The sequence below is a fragment of the Homo sapiens genome, chromosome 7 (assembly GCF_000001405.40).
Source record: "Homo sapiens chromosome 7, GRCh38.p14 Primary Assembly".
Taxonomy (NCBI): domain Eukaryota; kingdom Metazoa; phylum Chordata; class Mammalia; order Primates; family Hominidae; genus Homo; species Homo sapiens.
In genome coordinates this window covers 42,312,393-42,338,499 of record NC_000007.14, presented here as the reverse complement: position 1 = coordinate 42,338,499, position 26,107 = coordinate 42,312,393, and the positions used below count along the sequence as shown (strand labels likewise).

At 37.1% G+C, this 26,107-nt stretch overlaps 1 long non-coding RNA gene across 2 annotated transcripts, besides 2 other annotated features; it reads left to right on the top strand.

Annotated features, from left to right (window-relative positions):
* The first annotated feature begins 163 nt into the window (after positions 1-163).
* Positions 164-12,198, top strand: LOC105375249 (uncharacterized). 2 transcript variants are annotated; one of them, XR_927202.3, is made up of 4 exons: positions 164-266; positions 537-622; positions 5,643-5,737; positions 9,480-12,198. It is a non-coding gene; the product is annotated as an uncharacterized LOC105375249 (long non-coding RNA). The 2 variants fall into 2 exon arrangements; XR_001745011.3 differs by lacking the exon at positions 5,643-5,737.
* Positions 542-1,046: an enhancer, noted in NCBI's record as "H3K27ac-H3K4me1 hESC enhancer chr7:42377053-42377557 (GRCh37/hg19 assembly coordinates)". NCBI's record gives its function as "activates a minimal SCP1, AML or CMV promoter by ChIP-STARR-seq in primed H9 embryonic stem cells {active_cell/tissue: H9 hESC(primed)}" and the evidence as "EXISTENCE:reporter gene assay evidence [ECO:0000049][PMID:30033119]".
* Positions 1,047-1,551: an enhancer, noted in NCBI's record as "H3K27ac-H3K4me1 hESC enhancer chr7:42376548-42377052 (GRCh37/hg19 assembly coordinates)". NCBI's record gives its function as "activates a minimal SCP1, AML or CMV promoter by ChIP-STARR-seq in primed H9 embryonic stem cells {active_cell/tissue: H9 hESC(primed)}" and the evidence as "EXISTENCE:reporter gene assay evidence [ECO:0000049][PMID:30033119]".
* Positions 12,199-26,107: the final 13,909 nt, after the last annotated feature.

Genomic DNA, 26,107 nt, shown 5'->3' with positions numbered 1-26,107 from the left:
CAAACTAGGATAGGCCCATGAGGGAAAGATTGCTGTTCACAAGCCAAAACCCTCATACACTCAATGGTGTTTGAAAAATTAAAAACTAAAACCCAAAAATGTGCAGCCCTGCCCCTTCATTCCACCGCAACAGCTCTGGCAGTTGCTTTCTCTTTCTGTCTCTGTTAGCTTTTCATCTTCCTGAGAGTCCAGAAGCCTCCCCGTCAGAAGTGTGTTAACAGCAGTTCAGCCCATTTCAGGGTGAAGGACAGTTTGTCATCTAACTGGTGAGTACAAGACAACTTCTGGTTATTTTTTAAAGCCAATTGTTAGCATAATAAGGGGAAATCATTGAACCTCTAGTTGTAATGAAAATGCCAACAAGTTTCTCCCAAATATATTTAACCTTTAAAAGCCATCAGAAGGTCACCTCGGTTTCTAATATTTCTGGTCACCACTTTCTAGCAATAAAAAAGTGTATTTTCTAAGGGTTGTGGGAATTACATAACATACAATTGATTGATTGATTGATTTTTTTTTTTTTTTTTGCCCTCAAGTTTTAACCCTCTTAGGGAGAAAGTACATAGACTGAAAAGAATTTGACTGAACGAAGACTCGATCACACGCTGTGTACCCGCCCTGTGTAGGTGAACTCAGTGCAAATATCTAATTGGAATCCTGAATGACACCAAAACCCTTTGCTGGAGCTGGGAGCAGAGAGGGAATTATGAGGGGGAGGCAACAGGAAGCGTCACCTGGTCAGGAAGGACTCCCTGAGCCTCAGCTAACAGGAAGCGTCACCTGGTCAGGAAAGATTCCCTGAGCCTCAGGTCAGGTGAGAGAATGTCTCTTCCCTATGGCCTAAGGAATTCGACACAGGCTGAGCTGAGAGAAAAACAAGAAGCTGGTGTCTGTGAAGCATGGAAGGGTTGCCCATCGAACCAGCAAATGGAGGGGACATAGCAGATATCACGGGGTGGGGTGTGCAACCAAGGAGCAGAAAGCCAAGGAGACAAGGTCATGGCATCGAGTGCCAGAGTGCTCCAGAAGGGAAGCCAGAGCCCTTATGATGCCCTCCAGGCTACCGCCATGGCCACCAGGGCTGAGGGCCGGGGGGGCACGGAGGGCAGTGTCTGGGAGGCAGTGGCGAGCACAGAAAGCTGGGTGGGAAGGCATCTCTGGACCTGCAGGGACCACAGAATCATATGTGGGGCATGGGCAGATGTGCATAGAGGTCAAAGGAGAGTGAAATAGATCCTGTATATTCCTCTACTGCTTAGATGGTTATAAAGGGGATGCTTTACAATGTAAATATGCTTATAAAGGGGATGAAAAGTGTGTGGAATAAAATATAATATGCCTTCCTTCTTAGCCCTTAGTGAACATTAATAATAGACTATAGAACTCTCAGAACAGAGTTTCAGAATTCTTTTTAACACAGCCAACTAAATCACAAGCAACTGACAAGATATGGCTCCCAAGTTAAACCAATTTGCCATCTCTGCTCCCTCTGTTCTTTGACGTTTAGGAAAATAGCCCACGCATCCTTACCACTTCCAGTTAGTGGCTACCCATGAGTGAGACAGTCACCCTGTGCTGAAGCATTTCCAAGACTCAAAACTCACTCCTTCCTAATTATCTTACTATCATTTATGCCTTGGGGTTGTTTACATCTCCCGTCTCTGTCTGCTGGAAATACTATTCAACCCTCTGCCACCACATGGCTCTTCTTCAGTCCACACCCAGTGGCAGCGCTGGTAGTTTGAAATTAGCCAGCGTGTAAATATCCTGAAATAGGGAAACACTATAAATCAGGGCTTTCTCCCCCACCTGACCCTCAAGAGAGCCAATTATTAAACATTTACCGATACATCACTGGAGACAGTAGCACTTTGAGGCATGGAAAAAGTTGAAGAAGTAGAAGCCAGACATTTGAAAAGATACTATCTGAGGGGAGGAGTGCAGTAAGACTTTCTGAGAGGACTGGCATTTATATGCTCATCTCTGAGTGCTCCATGGCCACATCAGCATCATTCGCAGGGTCAGCGAAAGGGTAAATTGTCAATGCTTCCGAAAGCACCATTAATCTTACCAAATGAAGAAATAAATGCATCTCAATGATGGATTTTTCTGTAAACTATTATGGAGAACCCTTGAGGTGATTCTCACAGGAGATATGAATACAGTACAGGTGGCCAGGAAAGGAAAAAAATAATATAAACCAACATGCAGGAACTACAAGAAAAAAAGAGGAATGGAGGTACTACCCATGATATTAAAAAGAGGTCCGTGGAAGATTTCAAAAGTAAGTTTTTTAGAAAAAATATTAATGCAAATGAAAAAATCAAAGCATGACATCACTCTTTTTTATAAACAGTGTTTAATAGGTTAGGCCAGTGAATTTCAATTGTGTCTCCTACATAATTGGGAATCTAGATCAGATACTAAGAAAGGGATCAAGCTGACAGAAGACCAGTTTCCACTACCCCTCACCAGGGCAACTAATTTTTCTTGTTTCACATTTAGTTTTCTAATAAGATTCCATTTGAAGAAAGGCTACCTCCGCTTTCAAACTGTGGGGGAAAATAATAAAACGAAAGATTGGTCTATCTGTTTAATTGAAATATAAGTTTATAATCAGTCATTACAAGAATACCATCAAGAATTATCACTGAAAATATATTGAAGAATTTATTTTAAACACAATAATTCTAAATTACCTACCTATTCATGAAATCTTGAAAAATGTTGTGCTTCATGTATAGATATTTGTAAGAGACATTAAAATACATAATCAGTTTAATAATTTTTTGCTATCTTTGTTGATTTTTGCTATATTTGTTGACTTTTTTTTTTTTTAGCAGAAATCAGGTGTGAAAGGTTGAACAAGCAGAAAGGGGCCAGAATATGTAGGATCCTCTACAATTTGAGTCTACGGGTTCAGTTGAGGGTGACATGATTGGATTAGCATTCTGAAAATGCACCCTGATTTAAAGTGGAGAACGTGGAGATTTGAAAAAGCTGTGAATGGATATGGGAAGATTAGTTAGGATACTATTAAAACGGTCCAGACTTACTATGGTGGTGAGGTAGAGATGTATAAAAGTGGATAAAAGAGATGCCTGGGAAGTAAGATGAACAAGTAGTTAAAAGGAGGGAAGTTTAAAGAATGGCTCTCAGGTTTCTACAGTATGCAACTGAATGACGGACTGATTTTTGCAATTGAGATAAGGAATTCTGAAAGACGTATGAGTGGAAAAGAGGTAGATAATGAATCCAAATGGAATATACTGTTGTTGAGATACCATTGAGGTATCCAAAGAAGATTTCAGGTAAGCAATTGGATAGTATGCCTATGGAGCTCAGAAAGAGATATGATTATCATGGCACATTTATATTTACATACCATAATTCACCCATTTAAAGTGTACCATTTAATGGTTTATAGTACATTGACAAAATTGTGCAACCATTACTACAGTCAATTTTAAAACCCTTTCATTACCACAAAAAGAAACCCTTTACCTATTAACAATCACCCTTTATCTATTAATCAATTTCTCCTGCACCCTATCCCTAGGTACTACTAATCTACTTTCTATCTCTATGGATGTGCATATTCTGAACATTTCATATAAATAGAATAATATATTATGTGGCCTTTTCTGTCTGGCTTTTTTTACTCAGCATGTTTTCAAGATTCATCCATGTTGTAGCATACTTCCTTCTTTGTTATAGCTGAATAATATTCCATTGGAACATTAGATATACTAGATATACCATATTGTGTTTATCCATTCATTAGGTGATAGATATTTGGGTTGTTTCCCCTTTGGGGCCATTACAAATAAGCTGATATAAACATTCATGAACAAGTTTTTGTGTGTACATATGTATTTATTTCTCTTCATGAAATAGTTAGGACTGCACTTTCTAGGTTAATGACAACTCCATGTTTAGCATTTCAAGAAACTGCCAAACTGTACTCCATAGCAGTTAAACCATTTTACTTCTCTTAAGCTGTGTGTAAGGGTTCCAATTTTACCACATCCATGCCAACACGTTATTGTCCATTTAAAAAAGTATAGCTACACTAATGAGTGTGAAGTGCTGTCTCATTGTGATTTTTGATTTGCATTTTCCTAATGATTAAATATGTTAAGCATATTTTCATGTTCTTATTGGCCAATTGCATGTCTTCTGTGTAGAAATCTCCATTCAATTTTTTCCCATTTTAAAATTAAATTATTTGTATTTTTATTATAAACATTCTTTACGTAGTCTGGATACATGCCCCTTTATCAGACATATAATTTACAAATATGTTTCTCACTCTCTGTGTTCTTTTCACCTTGATAGTGTCCATTGATGTGCAACATTTTTTAGTTTTGATGAAGTCAAATTTTTTTTCTTTGGTTGCTTTGCTTTTGGAATCATATCCAGAAAAAAAAAATCGCCTAATCCAAGGTCACAGAGATTCACACCTATGTCTTCTTAAGAATTTTATAGTTTTTGTTCTTATATTTAGGTCTTTGATCAATTTTGAATTAATTTTTATATATGATGTGCAGTAACAATTTAACTTTTTTTTTTTTTTTTTGCATATGACTATCAATAGTTGCCCAGCACTATTTGTTGAAAGGACTGGACTGTTTTTTCCTCATTAAATTATGTTGATACCCTTAAAGTAAACCAACTGACCATAAATATAAGATCTTTGTTTCTTGATTCTTAATCCTATTTCATTGTTCTATAAATCTATTCTTATGCCAGTACCACACTCTCTTCTTATGAAGCTATCATGGCTTAGTAGTAAAATTTGAAATCAGGAAGTGTGCATTTTCTCTGTTCCTTTTAAAGACTGTTTTAGCTATTCTGGGTTCCCTACATTTCTCTGTGAAGTTTGGAATCAGCTATTAATGTCTGCAAAAAAACGCAACTGGATTTTTATAGGGAATTCATTAACTTTGTATATAAATCTGGGGAATGTAACCATCTTAACAATATTAAATCTTCCATGAACATGAAATGTCTTCCTATTAGGTCTTATTTAATTTCTTTCAACAATGTTTTATAGTTTACAGTGTGCAAACCTGCATTTCTTTTGTTAAATTTATTACTAATTATTTTATCCTTTTTTATGCTATTTTTAATGAATATTTAAATTATATTTTGGATTGTCCATTGATAGTGCATAGAAATATAATGTATTTCAAAATTTAGATCTTGTATCCTGCAACATTGCTAAGCTTGTTTATTAGCTAGCTCTAATAGCTGTGTAATGGATTCCTTAGGATTTTGTTTATAAAAAGATAACATAGTCTGAAAATGGAAGTATTTTTACTGCTTCATTTCCATCTGAATGCATTTTTTTCTTTGCTTAATTACCTCGGCTAGAAATTCCAGTACAATGTTGAGTGAAAATGATAAGAGCAGATATCCTTGTCATTTTCCTCCCCTTCATTTTGAAGGATAGTTTTGCTGCATATAGAATTCTTGGTTAACAGTCTTTTTCTTTCAACACTAAATACATCATTCCATTTCTTCTGGCCTCCATGATTTTTGATAAGAAATCAGCTATTAATTTTATTAAGGCTTCCTTGTACATGATGCTTCTCTCTTGCTGCTTTTAAGATTCTTTCTTTGTCTCTTGCCTTTGACAGTTTATGATGTGTCTGGCCGCAGATCTCTGATTTAGTCCTACCTGGAGTTCATTGAACTTCTTGGATATGTAGATTAATGTTTTTCATCAAATTTGGTAAGTTTGGGGCCATTATTTCTTTACTTATTCTTTTGCCCCTTTTCCTATATCCTCTCCTTTTGGGACTTACATTGTGCATATATTGGGACTCTTTATAATGTCTTGCAACCCTATGGGGGTTTTTTCCTTCATTCTTTTATTTTTCTTCAGACAGCGTATTCTCCATTGACCTGTTTCCAGATCTGCTGATTCTTTTCTCCATCTGTTCAAAGATACTGCTGAGACCCTCTAGTGAATTTTTTATTTTCATTATTTTACCTTTCAACTGCAGATTATTTTTAATTCTTTTTTTATTATTTATAAATTTTATTGACATTCTCTATGTGGTGAGACATCATTATTACACTTTCTATTAGTTCTTTAGATGTGGTTTACTTTAGTTCTTTGGACATATTTAAAATAACTGATTTAAAGTCTTTGTTGGCCAGGTACAGTGTAATTCCAGCACTTTGGGGGTCCGAGGCAGGAGGATCACTTGAGGCCATCAGTTCATGACAGGCCTGGGAAATATAGCAAGACTTCATCTCTACCAAAAAAAACCTTCTTTTAATTAAAAAATTAGCCAGACATGGTGGTGTGTGCTTGTACTCCCAGGAGTTTGAGGCTGCAGTGAGCCATGATTGCACCACTGTACTCCAGCCTGGGTGACAAAGTGGGACCCAGTCTCTAAAAAATAAAAATAAATAAATAATAAGGTCTTTGTCAAGTAAGCCCAATGTCTAGGATTCCTTGAGGAATTAACTGGTTGTACTGACTCTTTTTCTTTTCTTGCATATGAGCCATATTTTTTCTTTCCATATCACAATTTTTGTTGGAAAAATTGGACATTTTAAATCAGAAAATCAGATCTTTCTTCCTCTCCAGGGTTTGTTGCTGTCTGTATTGCTGTTTATTGTTGTTGGTTTTGCTCTCCTGTTTTCTGGTGAATTCCCTGAACTAATTCTGTAAATTCTGCATTCTTTCTCATGTATGCCACTGAAATCTCTGCTTGATTGGTTTAGTAGTTAGATAGTTATTGGAAAGAGGATTTCCTTAAATGCCTGGAACTAATAAATCTCCCAGTCTTTGTCAAGGACCTCTGTATGTATGTTGGAGTAAGCCTTCACTACTTAGCTAGGCAGTTTAGAATTGTGCCTTAGCTTTCACTTCCTGCTTGGCAGAACCTGAAGGTTAGCCAGAGGTCAGAACTTAGAGTTTTTTCAGATATTTTCAGAGCATGCACACAGCCCTACACATGCATGTAGCTTTCTAAATTCCCAAGAATATGTCAGAACTTTTTAAAGCCCCCTGTAGAATTCACTACCCAGTCTTTCCTTTTAAATTTTCTGAATAGCTTGTTGTTTACCCCAAATATCTCCACCTCAGGTAGCTCTGATGATAAACAATCACTATCAATTGTTTCTGATAAATGCCCCCATAGAAAAGGTTATTCTAGTGGGTGAGTTTTAAGTCAGGTCAAGAGAAGACAAACTGTAAAAGTGGGGTTTCCAGGGAACTATCATACAGGTCAAATAATGATACCGCTCTGAAATGGAGCTTTGAAAGATCCCTAACACTTTTCTGACCACTCCAGTATCTGCTAGACTGCTGGTTTTCCAGTGGTTGTTTGTTCGTTTGTTTGTTTGGAGACGGAGTCTTGCTCTGTTGCCAGGCTGGAGGGCAGTGGGTCAATCTCAGCTCACTGCAACCTCCGACTCCTTGGCTCAAGTGATTCTCCTGCCTCAGCCTCCCAAGTGGCTGGGATTACAAGCACGCACCACCATACCCAGCTAATTTTTGCATTTTTAGTAGAGACGGGGTTTCACCACGTTGGCCAGATGGTCTTGAACTCCTGACCTCGTGATCCGCCCGCCTCAGCCTCCCAAAGTGCTGGGATTACAGGTGTGAGCCACTGCGCCTGGCCCCGGTGTTTTTAAAAAGTTAATTTCGACCATGTTTTTCCAGCGTTCTCATTGCTTTTATGGAGAAGAGGCTTTTCAGATGTTTTTCTTCCACCATTTTTCCTGACAACCACAAGGTCATTCTTAAATCATAAAGCCCTTTGGGCATATTTGCTTTAAAAATAGAATATTTTGGCTGGGCACGATGACTCACACCTATAATCCCAGCACTTTGGGAGGCTGAGGCCAGCAAATCACAAGGTCAGGAGTTTGAGACCAGCCTGACCAACATGGTGAAACCCCGTCTCTACTGAAAATACAAAAATTAGCCTGGCATAGGGGTGCACGTCTGTAATCCCAGCTACTCAGGAGGCTGAGGCAGGAGAATTGCTTGAACCCGGGAGGCAGAGGTTGCAGTGAACCAAGATTGCGCCATTGCACTCCAGCCTGAGCAACAGATCGAAACTCCGTCTCAAAAAGCAAAATAAATAAATAAATAAGTACAATATTTTTTCACAGACTTGTGAAACATTTCTCTTTCAGCCTGGGCATGGTGGCTCATGCCTGTAATCTCTGCACTTCGGGAGGCTGAGGCAGGCAGATCACTTGAGGCCAGGATTTCGAGACCAGCCTGGCAGACATGGTGAAACCCTGTCTCTACTAAAAATACAAAAAGAAAAAAAAAAAAAAAAAAGTAGCCAGGCATTGTGGTGGGTGCCTGTAATCCCAGCTACTCAGGAGGCTGAGGCATAAGAATCGCTTGAACCTGGGAGGCAGAGGTTGCAGGGAGCCAGGATTGCACCACTGCACTCCAGCCTAGGTGAGAGAGTGAGACTCCATCTCAAAATAAAAAAAAAAAAAAAAAAGGAAGGAAGGAAGGGAGGGAGGGGAAGAAAGAGAGAGAAAGAGAGAGAGAGAAAGAAAGAAGAAAGAAAGAGAGAGAGAAAGAAAGAAGAAAGAAAGAGAGAGAAAGAAAGAAGGAAGGAAGGAAGGAAGGAAGGAAGGAAGGAAGGAAGGAAGGAAGGAAGGAAGGAAGAAAGGGGAAAGATTTCTCTTTGATTATATGTATTACACTATCATGTTTGTTGAATAACTGAAAACTTAAATGCCTTTTAATGGACTTTATATTGGCAGGTCTTCCTGTGGTCCCCTTTGGGTTTAGAGAGCACATTTCTATATTTATAATCTTAAAATGGACCTGATTCATTATGACTTCTCAAATATTTTGCGAGATTAATAGTAATAAGTAAATAAATGCAAACATAGTATAACTATATTAACTCAGATATCTGATAATCTAATTTCAATATTAATTTATTATTAAGAAATTATAAATACCAAATGTGAAAGGAGAAGAGAATCTGGTAATAGAGGTGTTAATTATAATTAATTAATAGTTGTGCCCTTTGTAGATAAGCTTGATCCAGATTATTTTATTTGCCACATCTAAGGTCCAGGATCCAGTGGACTTTTGTTGTCATCTTCATTTTCTTTATTATATCAAATCTGCTATGTGAAATGTAGAATTTGATCTTGGCTTTTAATCAGGTTCTTCACTTGATAACACTAATACTGGTTTGATTAATTAATTGATTTGTTGGCATTATTTTACCCTCACAAAACTTCTCTGGGATGATTTTACTTTCATTCTATGAAAGCATATTTTACCCTTTTTTTGTGTGTTAAACACTAATGATGAGTAAGATGCCCTTGTAAAAATGGTAACTTTAAAATATAACATTAAGTTTGCTATGAAAATCTCATATATGGAACATTATAGCTTTCTTAAAAAAAGATATATGAAACACCTACTTTAAAGCCTTCCTACCTAAAAGGCTCTCTCTTTTCAATCTTTCTAGGGCTTGAATTTCTCATTCATTTGGTAGCTTAGAGTCCCAGGATTAAGATATGGTGATGCATGGAGGGAGAACCCCACTCTGGGAAGAGAAGAGCAACAGCATCTCCTGTCTCCCTCAGTCCAGGCTTTGTGCCAGATTATCTCACGGATCCTCACAAGTACACAGCCTAGGTTGGTATTCTTAATACTGTTCCCAAATAGGGACGCTATTGCTTAAAAAGTTGTATAAACTTGGAAAAGTTCAGTAAATGGTGGATATAAGATAAGAACCAGGAATTTTTTACTTCATAGTCTTCAAAAACATCACACACATTTCAACATTAATCTGCAAAAACCAATGAAGAAGGTAAAGAAGAGTCTATACTTGTTGAGGCCCCGTTATGCCACATATTAGTCAATATTTCACATGTTATGTCAGTCCATCTTATCAACAACATTGTGAGGAATCAGAAATATAAAGAAGTTAAGTAATTTGATAAAAATCACACTTCTAGCAAATGCCTGGCACATAAAAGATGATTAATATCTATTTATTAAGGAGATAAATGAAAGTAGGAGAGGCTGATTTTAGTTCAATGGACTGCCCTCCTGTACCTCCCTAGATTTCCTTAGACAACTTTTTTACCTTTTTTTGGCCTACTCAAGAACCAGATCCTAAAATAATTAGATCCTTGCTTTTGTATGGAAAGGAGATTAGGCAAAAAAAAATGGATATTGCAGAGCCAAGAGCAATAAGCAGGATAAGAGCTTGAAAAACCCTATGAGGCAAAGATAGGGTCTGTGGCAGGCAAAGTCCATGCTTTCCACCTACATCTACAGACTCCAAAAAATTCACCGTTTTCTTAGTCCTAAATTTGACTGGTGATTTTCAAAAATATTTTTTACTTTCATGATCTCAAAAGATTAAAGATTCCAGAGAAGGTGGGGAGAGAACTTCAAAAGTTTGCCTCACAACTCTTTTGGATCAAAGGGATTTTATTTTCCTGGCACTGAAGAACTAAAAGATACATAAAACGGCACAATATTTTATAGGGTTCCTTATGGATGGGCTATTCTTTAAATGCTGAGGAAGGAAACAAATAATGCACCAGACTATTTAATTAAACTGTGTCTAAAATCTGCGCTCCGCTGTATTAGAGGCACCTCCTCAGACTTGTAAACCAGTGGGCCAAAGTCAATTAAGAAGGACATGTCTACAAATGTTTCAACGATTACCAGTTACTTGCCTCTGACGCCCTCCCCTAATCTCCAGGACATAAATGGTGAACGAAAAATCAGTCACTTGATTTACCTCCAAGATCAATCTGAAGGACAAGTTTAGCACTTAAAACAACTGGTTTTGAAGAAGTGGTGACTTTCAGTTAGTAACAATATAGGATACCATGGTGAAGAAGGGAGAGAAACCAACCCAGGATCAGAGTCAAAGCTCTTCAAAGCTAGTCCTTATCTACCTCCCTGGCCTATTCCCTACCACCTGGGGTATACACTTTCTCTATCTTCTGTGGTTCCCAAGCCAGGGACAACAGTCACAAAACACTGCCTGCCTTCGCACACAAAGTTCCCTCTGGAATTTGAGGATGTGACTTTCTTCCAACGATCTATTCTAGTTTGTGCTCCCTTCCTCCTTTCCATGAGCCCTCTGCTCCCCAAACTATAAAAATGCCTTGTCCCTCCCAGCCTGGGTCTTTGTAGATGAGGCTATCCATTCCTTTCAGCCTCTTTACTCTGGCCTCATCCCAGAATAAGAACCTAAGACACTTTCTCCCTAGAAGTCTTACCAAATAAGTCCTACTCACTTGCCTTAAATCTTTAACCTCTGAGGACACAGGGCATTTTCTGTTTCATCCATACAGTTTCCTCCAACCATTTTAATTCAAGTTGCATGCTTCCTTACTATAGGTTTTAGGTACAGATTTAACACCCTGTCAGTTCTTCTATTGCCTCTTTCCAGGGTCTTATTTTAACTTTCTGTGATTTAAAAACTCTCTTTGTCATTCTGAGCCCATGTTTCTTTGTATAAGAATTAATTATGAGAAATGACTGATAAAATCACTCATTTTTGAATGATACAATGGTAATTTATAATCATGGTTGAAATGCTTGAGGTCACATTCTACTCCAGGCTGAAATGATCTGGTTCTTCTTAGCATATTTGATTGTGTAATTAATTTTATTTATTAGGCTTATGTTGGTAAGTTATATTTAAAAGTAAACGATTAAAACTTACGATAAAGTCCAGAACTAACAGCTATACCAAGAAACCATTCTGTGTTATACCTGCAATCGATGCTATGGAAGTTAAGGAATGTAACCCTTTGACAAAACTAGAAATGCATCCATCTGTACCAGCTGGAGTTTTAGAGGAATCCAATAAACAATACTTGTTGTGGACTGAATTGTGTCCTCCCAAAATTTGTCAAACTCCTAACCCTCAGTACCTCAGAATGTGACTGCTTCTGGAGACAAGGTCTTTAAAGAGGTAATTAAATTAAAATAAGGTCATTAGGGTGACCCTTAACCCAATGTGACAGGTGACTTAAAAGAAGAAGAGATTAAGACACAGACAGATACAGAGGAAAGATTACATGAAGACTCAGGAAAATGACGCCATCTACAAGCGAAGGAGAGAGGCCTCAGGATAAATCAACCCTACAGACACCTTAATCTCAGATTTCTAGCCTCTAGACTTGTAAGAAAATAAATTTCTGTTGTTTAAGTGATCAGTCTGTGGTGCTTTTTGTTATGGCTGCGCTGGCAAACTAATACAGTGCTCCTTCTCTTCTTTCAAGTTCAATCAAGTGGAAGACAGTGATAGGAGTCAGTCGTATCAAGAGGAAAGCACTATGTCTATGAGATAACTGGTTGAAGTTCATGCCTTTAGTTCTATGGTTCAATGGGCTAGCCTATACCTCCTTTCTAAATTAGACAAACTTTCCTACTCAGTTACTTGTGGAGTCAGATAACCTCAGGCCAGAGTCAGGTCCCTTACTGTGTGGCAGAGAACAGACCAGAATGTGTTCCTGGAAGATACAAAAGAGAAAGATGTTGTTGAGCTCACTTTTTTCTAGCAAATTTACCATTGACATGGGACTGAGGGGTACAGAGAGAGGCCAGGAGTGTTACTAGCAGAAGTAACTAAGAATGGAAACTCCATTCTTAGTGGGGGATAAGTGCCAACTATCACAATCTGCAGAGCTTTTGTTCTCTTAAGTCATTTGATGTAACCTCAGTGACTGTGGTCACCCAGGGATATGACTCTTCCTCTTAGAAGAGGAAAAGAGCAATCTAACTTCCCAGTGCTGATTTTATCTGCATATGATCTCATTCCCGTAAATTCTATAGAAGATCATCTGGGTTATCTGGAGAAAGAGAAGACATTCTGTCTCACCCAGAGGCCAGTTGATGTCTATGGTTCAGAATGGAAAGTCAGGAGGTTAATTGTGGAATTGTGTTCAGCATATCTGAAGGGGGTAGTGAGAGTGAATCCTTCTATGCTACTCTCCCAGTGAAGGGCAGCTGTGATATTTTAGCTTTCTTACATAACTCAGAACTTTGTATCAAAGGCGTCCCACAAGCTTAAGGTGTCTTTCTTTCCCACCTGCTGAATCCAAGACCGTTAATGCTCATTCCATTTACAGTTTTCTATTGTTGGTCCTGGGTGCAGGCTCTATCCAGTGATTTTATTTCCTATGCTCTAGAGTTACTTACATCCACAAAGCCTACTTCCTGGGATAATTTTGCACTGGTCCCTACATTTGCTTCATGGGGTCAGTCGACCCAGCAGGTTCTTAAACTGAAGGTGCTATTGGCATTTCTGAAGCCTGACTTCTGAACGCCTAGTGTTGACCACTACATATCTCTGCCACATGTACCTCAGTTTTTAATATTACAGTAATGAAGTAACATAAATTTCTGTTACTCTTTTTATGCAGTAGAGTCCTGTGTGTTCAATGTGAATTTCTCCAATTTTTTAGGAGGAACTTTATTTGAACAACTAAGTTTGTTGCTATCTTTTTTCTCTAGCATATCTCTAGTTAGCACGTTCGATGGATCTGAGTGGTTTTTTTTTTAATCTCTCTGTTTTTTTCTCCCTTTGCTCTCAGACTGAGACAGTGAGTTTTTGCTTGCTTATCTGTTCGTTTTTAAATATGCTTTTTGTTGTTGTTGTTGTTGTTGTTTTTGTGGTTTTTTGTTTGTTTGTTTGGTTGGTTTTTATTCAGGAGGTACATGTGCAGGTTTGTTGCACTGATGCTGTGGTTTGGGCTTTAATTGAACCCATCTCCCAAATAGTGAACATAGTACACAGTAGATAGTTCTTCAACTTTTGCCCTCTCTCTCCCTCTTTTGGAGTCCCCAGTGTTTATTGTACCCATCATTATGTCCATGTGTACCCAATGTTTAGCTCCAAATTATAAGTGAGAACATGCAGTATTTTGTTTTCTGTTACTGTGTTAATTCACTTAGGATAATGGCCTCTAGCTGCATCCAGCTTGCTGCAAAGGATATTATTTTGTTCTTTTTTATGGTTACATAGTATTCCATGGTGTTTATGTACTAAATTGGGTAAATTTTCTTTATCCAATATACTGTTGATGGGTACCAAGGTGGATCCCATTCGTTTGCTATGTGAGTAGTGCTGTGATAAACATGTGAATGCATTTGTCCTTTTGGCAGAATGATTTACTTTCCTTTGGGTATATACCCAGTAATGGAATTGCAGGTTGAATGATAATTCTATTTTTAATTCTTCAAGAAACCTCCAAACTGCTTCCACAGGAGCTGAACAAATGTTTGCCTGAGAGCTAAGACTAAAGATAAGCCCTGCCCACAAACACAGAATTAGAAGTTGAAAATTGAGGGGAGATGTTGATTGGGGAAAAAAAAAACATGTAGAAAGTCATATAGGAAACCTTTCATAAGGTTTCAAATGGACAATAAGATCACCAAATATTTGAAAAAAATCAAATACAAAATAAAAGACAGATATTCATAAGCAATTACTGACTATGAGAAATAGGTATTTATTATTCAAATATAGGATGAAAACATTTTAGAAAATATAACTAATAGCACCAGGAAATGTCAAATATAATGGATCTGTAAAATAGAAAGAGATTTCATTTTTTTAAATGAGCATCATAGTATCAGAAAGAGTTTATGGAAATGCAAGTATAATCCCGAAGTCCTAAAAATTAAAGCCAAAGAAACTACCCTGAAACTAAAATAAAAATATCAGAAAAAGAAAATATAAAAGAAGAGTTAAGAAACATCAGGGATAAAACCAAAAGTTCAACATCTGTCTTATAGGAGTTCCAGAAAAAGAAAACAGAAAGGAGGAAATATAAAGAGGGAGGAGGAAGAGAAGAAGGAAGAGGACGTGGGAGGACTAGAAAAGGGGGGAGGAAAAAAAGATTTCTTAAAGCCTAAGAAAGACGCTAGTGTTTACATCAGAAAGATAGTAGAACAAGAGGTCACCAGCCCATGTCCCACCAAAAAAACCAAATATTTGGCTGCTATCCTTGGAATGAACTGTGTTTTTGGAAACTTTGGAATCTAGGTAGAAGGTTGCAAAAGCCCAGTAGAGACCAAGACCAAGGAGGGTTGCTTTGAGAAAGCAAGTCCATGCACCACTAGCAGGCCTGCCATCTGTGGTTCTGGCTACAGACCAGAAGCAGTCATATCCCCCTGGCCAAGGGAACCAGGAGTATCCAGGCCTCTAGGTTACAAGCATGCTGACTTCAGACCCAACTGTGTTGTCTGAGAAAAGTCTCATGACTTTACTCCAGCCCCACTCTACATGGATCACAAAGAACCAGGCAAATGTGACACTACCAAAAGAAACTAATAAAAGCTTTAGTAACCAACCCTAAAGTAAAGGACTGATTGACAAAGAATTCATGAACTGATTGACAAAGAATTCAAAATAAATGTGTTAAACAAACTCGATGAGCTACAAGAGAACAGAGATAGACAACTAAGTGAAATTAGAAAAATAACACATGAATGAAATAAGAAGTCTGTCGAAGAAATAATAAACATTAAAAAGATCCAAATAGAAATCCTAGAGCTGAGAATAAAATGATTGGTCTGAAATGTAATACAGAGTCTCAGTCATGAAGGAAAATAAACAATGACTGAACTCAAAGACAGGTTATTTGAAATTATTAAGTTAGAGGGAAAAATGATTAAAAAGGGTGAGGAAAGCTTATGTGACTAATGGGAACATTAAGTGAACCAATATATACATTATGGATGTCCTAAAAGAAATAGAGAAACTGAAGGGAAAAGAAAGCTTATTTAAAGAAATAATGACAGAAAACTTCCAAAACCAGAGAATAGAATTGAACATCCATAGTCTTAGTGCCCAGAAAATCCCTAATAGGCTAAACATTAAGAGATCTGCAGATACAATGCAATTCTTTTGAAAATTGCAGTGGCATTTTTCAAAGAAATAGAAACAACAATCGTAAATACATATGAACCAGAAAGACCCCAAGTAGCCAAAGCAATTTTGAGCAAAAATAACAAAACTAGAGGCATCACACTTACTGATTTTAAATTATACTATAAAGCTACAGTAATCAAAATGGTACAATACTGGCATAAAACCAGACACATAGATCAATAGAATGAAATTAACCCAGTCAACTAATTTTCAACAAGGGTAAAAGAATATGCTCTGAGGAAACGATACTCTCTTTAATAAATGTGCTGGTAAAACTGTATATCCACATGCAGACTAATGAAATTTCACCCTTATCTCACACACAATATAAAAAAATCAACTCAAAAAATGAATTAAAGACTTAAACATAAGACCAGAAACTGTCAAGCTCCTGGAAAGAAACAAAGGGGAAAACATTGGTTTAGGCAATGATTTTTTGGATATTACCCCAAAAGCACAGGCAACAAAAGCAAAAATAGACAAGTTGAACTGCATGAAAATAAAAAGCTAAGCACAGCAAAGGAAAAAAATCAACACAGTGAGACAACCTACAGTATGGGACGAAATATTTGTAACCCATGTATCTGATAAGGGCTTACCATCTTAAGTAGATGAGGAACTCCCACAACTCAATAGTAAAAATTTTTTTAAAAAAGTTAAAAAGTGAGGAAAGGACCTGAATAAGCATTTCTCAAAAGAAGATATACAGATATGAAAAGGTGCTCAGCACCAATCATCTTGGAAATGCAAATCAAAACCACAGTGAGGTAATAACTCACACTTTCTAGAATGACTGTAATCAAAAAGACAAAAGGTAACAAGTGTTGATGAGAATATGAAAAAGGGAGAACCCTTACACATTGTTCGTGGGAATGTATATTGTTACAACCATTACGGAAAACAATATGCAGTTTCCTCAAAAAGTTAAAAATAGAACTAACATGATCCAGAAATCCTACTTGTGGGTATGTATCTAAAAGAATTAAAACCAGGACTCAAAAAAATACCTGAACTCCTAAGTTCATTACAGCATTATTCACAATAGCCAAAATATGGAAACAACACAAATGGCCATCACTGGATGAATGGCTAAAGAAAATGTGACTTATATATGCCATGCAATATTATTCCACCTCAAAAAAGAAGCAAATCCTGACATATGTGAAAACATGAATAGATCTAGAGGATATTATGCTAAGCAATGCATGATCTCACTTATATGTGGAATTTAAAATAATCAAACTCATGGAAGCAGAGAGTAGAAAGGTAGTTGACAGGAGCTGGAAGTGGGAGAAATGGTGAAATGCTGGTCAAAATGTCAGCTATACTGAATGAGTAAATTCCGGCGATCTACTGTATGGCATGGTGACTGGAATTAATAATACTGTATTATATACTTGAAATTTTCTAAGAGAGTAGCTCTTAAGTGTTTTCATCACCAAAAAAAGTGATATTATGCTAGGTGATAGATACATTAATTTGCTTGATTGTGGTAATTATTTTACTATATATGTCTATCAAAACATCACATTGTACACCTTAAGTATATATAATTTTATTTGTCAATTATACCTCAATAAAGCTGGAAAAGTAATTTAAAAAAAGAAAGATGCTAGTCTCCAAACTACAATCAAATCCCACTCTTAGACACATCTTAGACTTAGGGTAACAAAAATTTTGAAATATCCTTAAATCTTCAGAAGAGAAGTGGTGTCCATGTTTATTTACAAATGAACAGCAAGCAGATTACTAGTGTCCTTATGAGAATGCTAGATGGAAATAAGCCAAATTCTAAGAGATATGAGTTTTGTATCTAAAATTCTATGGCCAGCACAACAGTCAGATTTTTGTTTTATACACCCTTTCTGAAAAGTATTCCTGTGAATGAAACTGGATCTATGAAAAAAAGAAGCATGAGGTCCAAGAAAGAGGGAAACTATGCTACAAAGAAAATGAAATCTCAGGGCAACAGCTGTTTAGTCAGTCAAAACTGGAAATGAAGACTAAAGGTTCTGAAAAAGTCACTTTAAGAAGAAAGTGGATATTATTCAACAAGCTGAGAAAAAAGTGATATGCCAAAGTTTATTTTTAATAAGTGAACATTCACTGGCAGAGACTGTTTTGCTATACGAACAGAAAAGATCTGAGTGTGGGTATGTGCACGTGTGTGTGTGCGTGTGTGCACACGTGCATGTACGCACACTTCTCAGAATAACAAAAGAACATGCAAAGTGTATCTGGGAAATCAGTGCTAGCATTAGATTAACCTGTAAATTTTATTATGTCCTGTAATCAGTGTAAAACCTGAAGCTTTAAAAATGGACTTAAAGTGGTAGGAAAATGAAATGGCATAACAGCACACAAAAGCAACAAGTAGAAAGGAAAGCTAATAAGAATTTTTATGTAGGCCCATGGGAAAGTTGTTAATATTTGTTGAGCATTTGTGATTTATTGTTAGTTACCTTATGAGCTGTTTTTCAGTCATCATCAGTTTAATCTTCACAACAATATTTTGAAGTGGTTATGATTATCCCAGTTTTTACTTATGAAGTGGTTGAGTAACTTGCCCCAGGTCACAAAATGGTAAGTAGCAAAATCAGCCTTCTTGAACAGGCCTGATTATTATTAAAAATTCCAGGCTTTCTCTTCTCCATTCTACCTGCATAAGGGATACATAAACTTAATTTAGCACGTGGGAGGCTTTAATTATGACTGACGAAGGACACAAGAGTCATTTCAAATACTTCCCTAATAGTTTGAAATCCAATATGACTCATGCTGGGGCATCCTCAGGAAAAAGAAATATTTCCTTTCCTTTGTACACAGCAATAAAATTTCATCTAAAATTCTTATCCATATACCTCAGGAAAAACTTTACAAAATCAGAGGAAGATCAGGAAAAAGCAATTAAAATGACCAAAGGGCTAGATGGGCCATTATATAAAGTTAGATTGAAAGGATTGTGAAATGATTGGTATAAAGGAAATCATTAAGACTGTAAACAAGAATGTTCATTAGATCAAGCAGATGTCTCAAAACGCTTCTCAAAAGGGAAAATTTAGAAAAAGTAAAGGAAGAAATAACCCAATTTTAAAAGGACAAATGACTTAGCATTGTTCCAAAGTTACACAAAGGACCAAGAAACCCATGACAACATGTTCAACATCACTAGTTTTCAAGGAAATGCAAATCCAAGCCATAAGGAGATAACACTTCATAACCAGTAGGATGGCTATAATAAAAAAGACAATAACAGGTGTTGGCAAAGAGGTACAAATATAAGGACCCTCATTCTTTGCTTGTAGGAAAGTAAAATGGTGAACTCACTTTGGAAAACAGTTTGTCAGCTCCTCAAAAATATAAACATAGAATTATGATATTACTCAACCATTCCATTTTCACATGTACATCAAAATGAAATGAAATATGTTCACAAGGAAAAATTGCACATTAATGTTCACAGTAGCATTACTCATAGTAGCCAAAAAGTGGAAACAAGCCAAACATCCATTAACTGATAAATGTCCCCTTTACTATTCCCTTTGCTTTTTTCAAGTGGGACTATCTCCCCATAGCCCCCACAGCTGGGAACGTGCTGGATCACACTTGAAGTCAGCATGTCTCAGAGTCTCTTTCAAGGCCCATGGCAAGTACTACCTCATTACTGCTGCTGATTATTCAGGGCCCAAGGGCTCTTTAGTCACAAGGTTATGAATCCTGCCAGGACTGGGTCCTCCCCTTCAAGGCAGTAGGTCCTCTACTGTCCCAGGGTGTGTCTTGAAATATTATCCAGGAGCTAGGGTCTGGAATAGGTGCCTCATGACTCTGCCCGGTGCCCTATCCCACTGTGGCTGAGCTTGTATCTAAGTTGCAAGATAAAGTCCTCTTTGCTCTTCCCTCTTCTCTGCTTAAGCAGAAGGAATGAGTCTCTTTCAGAGGTGTGAGCTGCACCGCCTGGGTTTGGGAGTAGGGTGGCACAAGCACTCCCTTAACTGCCCTAGTTCATGTCTCACTTTGGAAAATATGCCCCCCAAGTCCACCAGCTCCAAGCCCAGCACAACACTAAGACTTGCCTAGGAGTTGCAGTCCTTGTGGCTTAGACCGCCTTTCAAGTTTATTTAGAACCCAGAACACTTTAGCCCACAGTGGTGAGGCTTGCAAAACTGAAGTTCCAATGGCTAGGATGGGCAATTCTCCTCTAGCAGGGCTTGTCTAAATACTCCCTCCTTAAGCATCAGCTGTGTTCTGCCCAGTGTTGGCAGCAGTGAGTTCTAACGCAAAGTCCCACAACCACTGCACTCTCCCTCCCCAAAATGCATAGATTCTCCACACCACATGGCTGCTGCTGGGCGTTGGGGGAGGGGTAGTGTTGGCAAATTAAGGCTGTCTTTCCTACCCTGTTTAGCGTCTCTTTCAGCGCTGTGAAGTTAAAACCAGGTAGTATGGTCACTTACCTGATTTTTGGTTCTTATGATGGCTAACCAAATGTCACCAAAATATTCAACCTAAATTTGTTGTTTCTGCAGGAGGGATGACTATGAAGCCTTCCATTTGGCCATCTTGCCCCTCTCCATTTTCTGTTTTTAGTTTTTAAAGAAATCTTCTTACTTTTTTCCATAGTGGCTGTACTAGTTTAGATTTGCACCAACAGTGTATAAGAGTTCTGCTTTCTCCATATCCTCCCCAACATCTGTTATTTTTTGTGTTTTTAATAATAGTCATTCTGACTGCAATAAGATCTCATCATGTTTTGATTTGCATTTCTCTGACAATTTGTGATGTTGAGTATTTTTCCATATACCTGTTAGCTATTTGTGTGTCTGCTTTTGAGAAATGTCTATTCATGTCCTTTGCCTACTTTTTAATGGGATTATTTGGGATTTTTTTCCTGTTGACTTGAGTTCCTTGTGTATTCTAGACATTAGCTTGGATATTAGTTGAATTAAGAGTTTGTGAATATTTTCTCCCATTCAACCAGTTATCTCTTCATTCTGTTATTTCTTTTGCTGTGCAGAAACTTTTTAGTTTAGTTAGATCCTATTTGTTTATTATTGTTTTTGTTGCCCATGCTTCTGAAGATTTAGTCATAAATTCTTTGCTTAGACCAATATCCAGGAGAATTTTCCCTAGGTTTTCTTCTAGTATTTTTATAGTTTTAGGTCTTATGTATAAGTTTTTGATCTGTTTTGAGTTGATTTTGGTTTATGGTGAGATAGGTGTCCAGTTTCATTTTTCTGTGTTTGACAAACTGATTCCAGAGTATATATGGAGAGTCAAGAATATCCAACACAATATTGGAGGAGGAAAATAAAGTTGGAGAACTGACATTACTCAACTTCAAGACTTACTATAAAGCTACAGTAATCCAGACAATAGGGTATTAGCAAGATAACAGACAGATAGGTCAGTGGGACAGAATAGAGAGCCCAGAAATAAATCCACATAAATATAGTCAATTGATCTTTGACACAGGAACAAAGGTGATAAAATGGAGCAAATGTAGTATTTTCAACAAATAGTGCAGAGACAACTAGGCATCGAAATGCATAAAAATGAATATATTCACAATAGCCAAGATATGATATCAACCTAAGTGTATATCAGTGGATAAATAGATAAAGAAAATGTGGTATATATATATAGTGGAATACTATTTAGCCTTTTAAAAAAGAAAAACCTGTAGTTTGTAACAACCTGGAAGAACCTGGATAACATTATTTTAGTGAAATAAGCCAGGCACAGAAAAGCAGTTAACATATGATCTTACTTATATGTGGAATCTAAAACAAACTCATAGAAGCAGAGAGTAGAATGGTGATTACCAGAAGCTGGGAGTAGAGGGTAGATTGAGGAGATGTTAGTCAAATGATATAAAATATCAGTTAGACAGGAAGAATTAGTTCAAGAGATCCACTGTACAACATGGTGACTATAGTCAATAACAATGTATTGCATATACTTGAAAATTGCTAGGAGAATAGATTTTAGGTGTTCTCACCATAAACAAAAAAATAAGTGTGTGAGGTAATGCAGATGTTAATTGGCTTGATTTGGCCATTCTACAAAAAATACATATCAAAACATCAAGTTGTGCACCATAAATATATACAATTTTTGTCAAGAAAGATAAATATAAAGCAAATCTAGATATAGAGCATGCACCCTTCACAAAAATTAATGCAAAATGGCTTACAGACCTAACTGTAAAATATAAAACTACAAAACTCCTAGAAGATAACACAGGAGAAAATCTACATGACCTTGGGTGTGACAATGACTTTTTAGATATAACATCAAAGGCATGATTCATGAAAGAATTGATATGCTCTACTTTATTAAAATTAAAAACTTTTCAGCAAAAGACTACCAACAGATGAAAAGACAAGCCACAGACTGGGTGAAAATATTTGCAAATACTGAGAATTCTAAAAGTATTTACACATAGAATTCGAAACAAAATGAAAACTATCACAATGCAGGTAAAACAATCAAAAGAAATATTACAGTCCTTACTCCTAACAAAAACAAAACTCCCACAAGCACACACCCAAGACAAATTTTATGTGAATGGAAAATCAGTTGTTCAAGTCTTTTTTTTTTTTTTTTAAAAAAAAAGAAGTCATTGCAATATTATTTCATTGATGTTGAGAGATGATGAGCAATTGTTTGTTCAATGAACATTCAAGTAGCATAGTTTATCAAAGAGTCTCACCACAGTGCAGTTTTATGTGTGCTGCACAGCTGGAAGCAAAAATGCACACAAAAGAGAAAAAACAAACCACAGAACTATTCAGCTGAGACAGTCAAGCAGCAATGAAAGCAGTCTGGATTTTTTTTTTCCTTTTCCACATAAAGATACCATTTGGTTGAATAAACAGGGCATTCTCTGCATTTAAAATAAACTTAATTTTCAAACAGCAGAGGGAAAGGGGGAAATGAAACTAAACCAAACATAAAACAAAACCAGAGATCGCTAAGAAAGGGACTTCAAATCAAATTTTTATTTTAATTAAGACAACACCCGACAATAGAAATCTGAGAAGGACATTGACACAAAAAACACCTTTTTCTTCAAATTCAACTAATCAATTCATGAGAATGGCATCCAACTACCTACATATGGAAAAGATCTTTGTGTGCCCAAGTGGACAATGTGACAAGGGAAGCTTTTGTTGTTGAGGAGTTGTGGTGGTTACTTACAGAAAACCTAAAAACAACGTGTGCTTCCCTCCTCTCTAACTCATAACTACAACCCAGGAGGTTATAAAAACAAACGCACATTCTTCCGAGTCTAAACAACTCCTTTGAAGTATCTTGTGCCACAAGAAATGCACCTCTGTCCCATTCTGCAAAGAGGGCATAGGAAGATTACTGGAAGGACTCCTCTGAGGAGGGAAAGTCTTTCTTGCATATTTTAGAAATCTGTGGCTGCCTCAAGGGATGTCCATTACTCTAATCTTGCCAAAACCTCAGTTGCTTCTCAGGCTCTGGCCAAAAGGCAAAGCTTCTCCAACATGTTCTGATTATTGGATTAATCTTTGCTCATCAATCTTTGTTGATTCATTACCTTCTTTAGCAAAGGATATCAGCACTAATCAGACCAAACTATGACCACAATCTGCCTCTTTTACCTTAAGGAAATGTAACTTTCCAAAGCTAGACAGTAGGGGATAAACAGGAAATATGACCAACTTGAAACTGGGAGGTGAAGCACTCCAGCAAGTGAGCTAAGATATTCATGACTGCCCCAATTCCTATAGCAATGAGAGGCTAAAGAGAAAGCAAGAGCGAGCCCAAGAAAAGCAATGCTCAGATTTCTCCTCTTCTGGCTGTATAAACTTCTTTGAAGCTTTAAGAATTAGCTAGAACAAAAGGTAATGGCTCTGAGAAGTGGAGATTTTTCTGGCAATAGGAAAAAGAAAAACTGAGCCTAAAGAACAGATGAATTTGTGAATGATTTGTTTCTAGGAATATAGACTTAATGATTCCTTCCCTACTCTCTATCTATCTTTCTCTTTTGCTTATGTAACACTGAAAGAAGGAAGAAGAGCTAAGGATTTTTTTAATTAACAATTTTTAAATTTTTTAAAACAGAATGTATTTGCTTAAAATGAAGGGAACAGCTTAAAAGTTTTGTAGTATTTTTAATAGTCTTACAGAATTAGTAAAACAGAGATTGGAATCTAGGGCTCAACAAAATGAGATGGCCTTGGCAAACCCCCAATGCTTTGTTTGAGAACTCAAAGAGTTAATCTTAGAATTAAAAATAAAGGGATGTAGTCAGCTTCTTGCAGAAGATTTGTCTCAGCTTGGAATCATCATTAGATTAAGATAATCCCATTTTTCTAAAGTATCCGGCTTCCTAGAGTGATGGCCTCACACATCTGACAAACATAAATTCTCTGTGGCAAAGAATAACCTTATGGTAGGCTTCAAATTATTTTTATAAACTACTTTAAAACTATATTTTTCAACACAGTTCAAAGTAACCAAACATACCAGGAGACAAGATATCATAAAAAGAAAGGCAGCAGGAAGAAAATGATAGAAAGGCCGGGTGCGGTGGCTCATGCCTGTAATCCCAGCACTTTGGGAGGCTGAGGCGGGCGGATTGCTTGAGCTCAGGAGATCGAGACCAGCTTGGGCAACACAGTGAAATGCTTGAACCTGGGAGGAGGAGGTTGCAGTGAGCCAAGATCGCGCCGCTGCATTCCAGCCTGGATGACAGAGTGAGACTCTGTCTAAAAAAAAGAAAAAGAGAGAGAGAGAGATCGAGGCCATCCTGGCCAACATGGTGAACCCATCCCTACTAAAAATACAAAAATTAGCCGGGCGTGGTGGGGTGGTGGTGGTGGGCGCCTGTAATCCCGGCTACTCTGGAGGCTGAGGCAGAAGAATCGCTTGAACCTCGGAGGCGGAGGTTGTAGTGAGCTGAGATCACACCACTGCACTCCAGCCTGGTGACAGAGCGAGACCCCGTCTAAAAAAAAAAGATAGAAATAGATTATATATGTTGGGGTTATACAAGGCGGATTCTAACATAATGCTCCTTAATAAGCTTAAGGAGATAAAAGTAGGATAACCAATTCATTCCAATTTGTCTGGAATTTTCTGAGTTTTGGTATTGAAAGTCCTGTGTCCCAGGAAGTCCCTCATTCCTGGTAAACCAAGAGGGTTGGTCACCCTAGAAAAGAAAATGTTGAGAATTTCAGCAAAGAACTAGAAAATATAAGAATATGTAAACTCTATACATGGAAAGTACTATAACCGAAATTAAGAACTTGATAAATGGGTTTAATAGCACATTAGGCACTCTGAATAGAGAAATAGTAAAATGAAGACAGATCAGAAAAAATATCTAGAAAGAAAAAATATCAAAAAGGAAGATAAAAGGAACAAAAATACTAAGAAGAGGACAAGGAGTATAGAGAAGAGGCCTAAAATACATGTAATTCGAGTTGCAAAAGAAGAGCAGAGAGAAACTGGGTCAGCCTCAATATTTAAAAATATAATGGTTGAGAATATTTATGGTTTGATTAAAGACATCAAGCCATAAACTGAAAAGCGCCATGAACCATAAGCAGGAGGAAATGGAAGGCCCATCATAGCAAAAGTGCTGAAAACGAAGGAAAAGAGAAAATTTTTAAGTTGCCAGCAAAAATAAGAGAGGACTTACTGTCAATATATAGGCACTTTACCTGATATCTAACTTCTAAAAAGAAATAATAAGATTCAAAACAATTTTAAAAACATCCCTGAAGAAATAAAAGATAAAAACCTCCAGGACATCTATAGGACAGTATCGGTCACCTACATCTAAATCTTTTAATAAATCCTTCTAAAACTATACAGAAAAACAAGGAGAGCAAATGAATTGACATGTAACTATGCTTAGTGCATGACAGAGGATATTACAAACATAAAGTTCCATGCGAGTTGGAAAACAAACACTTCAAATCCAGCAGAGCCAGCTTCAGTGCACGTACTACAGTAGCAACAAAGGAAGTCTGAAAAATTAAATAAATAAAGTGCATTATGATGTTAACAGTGATAAAAATTAAATCACACAATCTTCCAAAAATGAGTTCAACACTGAATGGAGAAATTCTTAGAACAGGTCTGAGACCCGGCAGATTTCCCTGAAATGGGGGTAATAGAAAGAGAAAAGAGTGTCGAATCAGGGG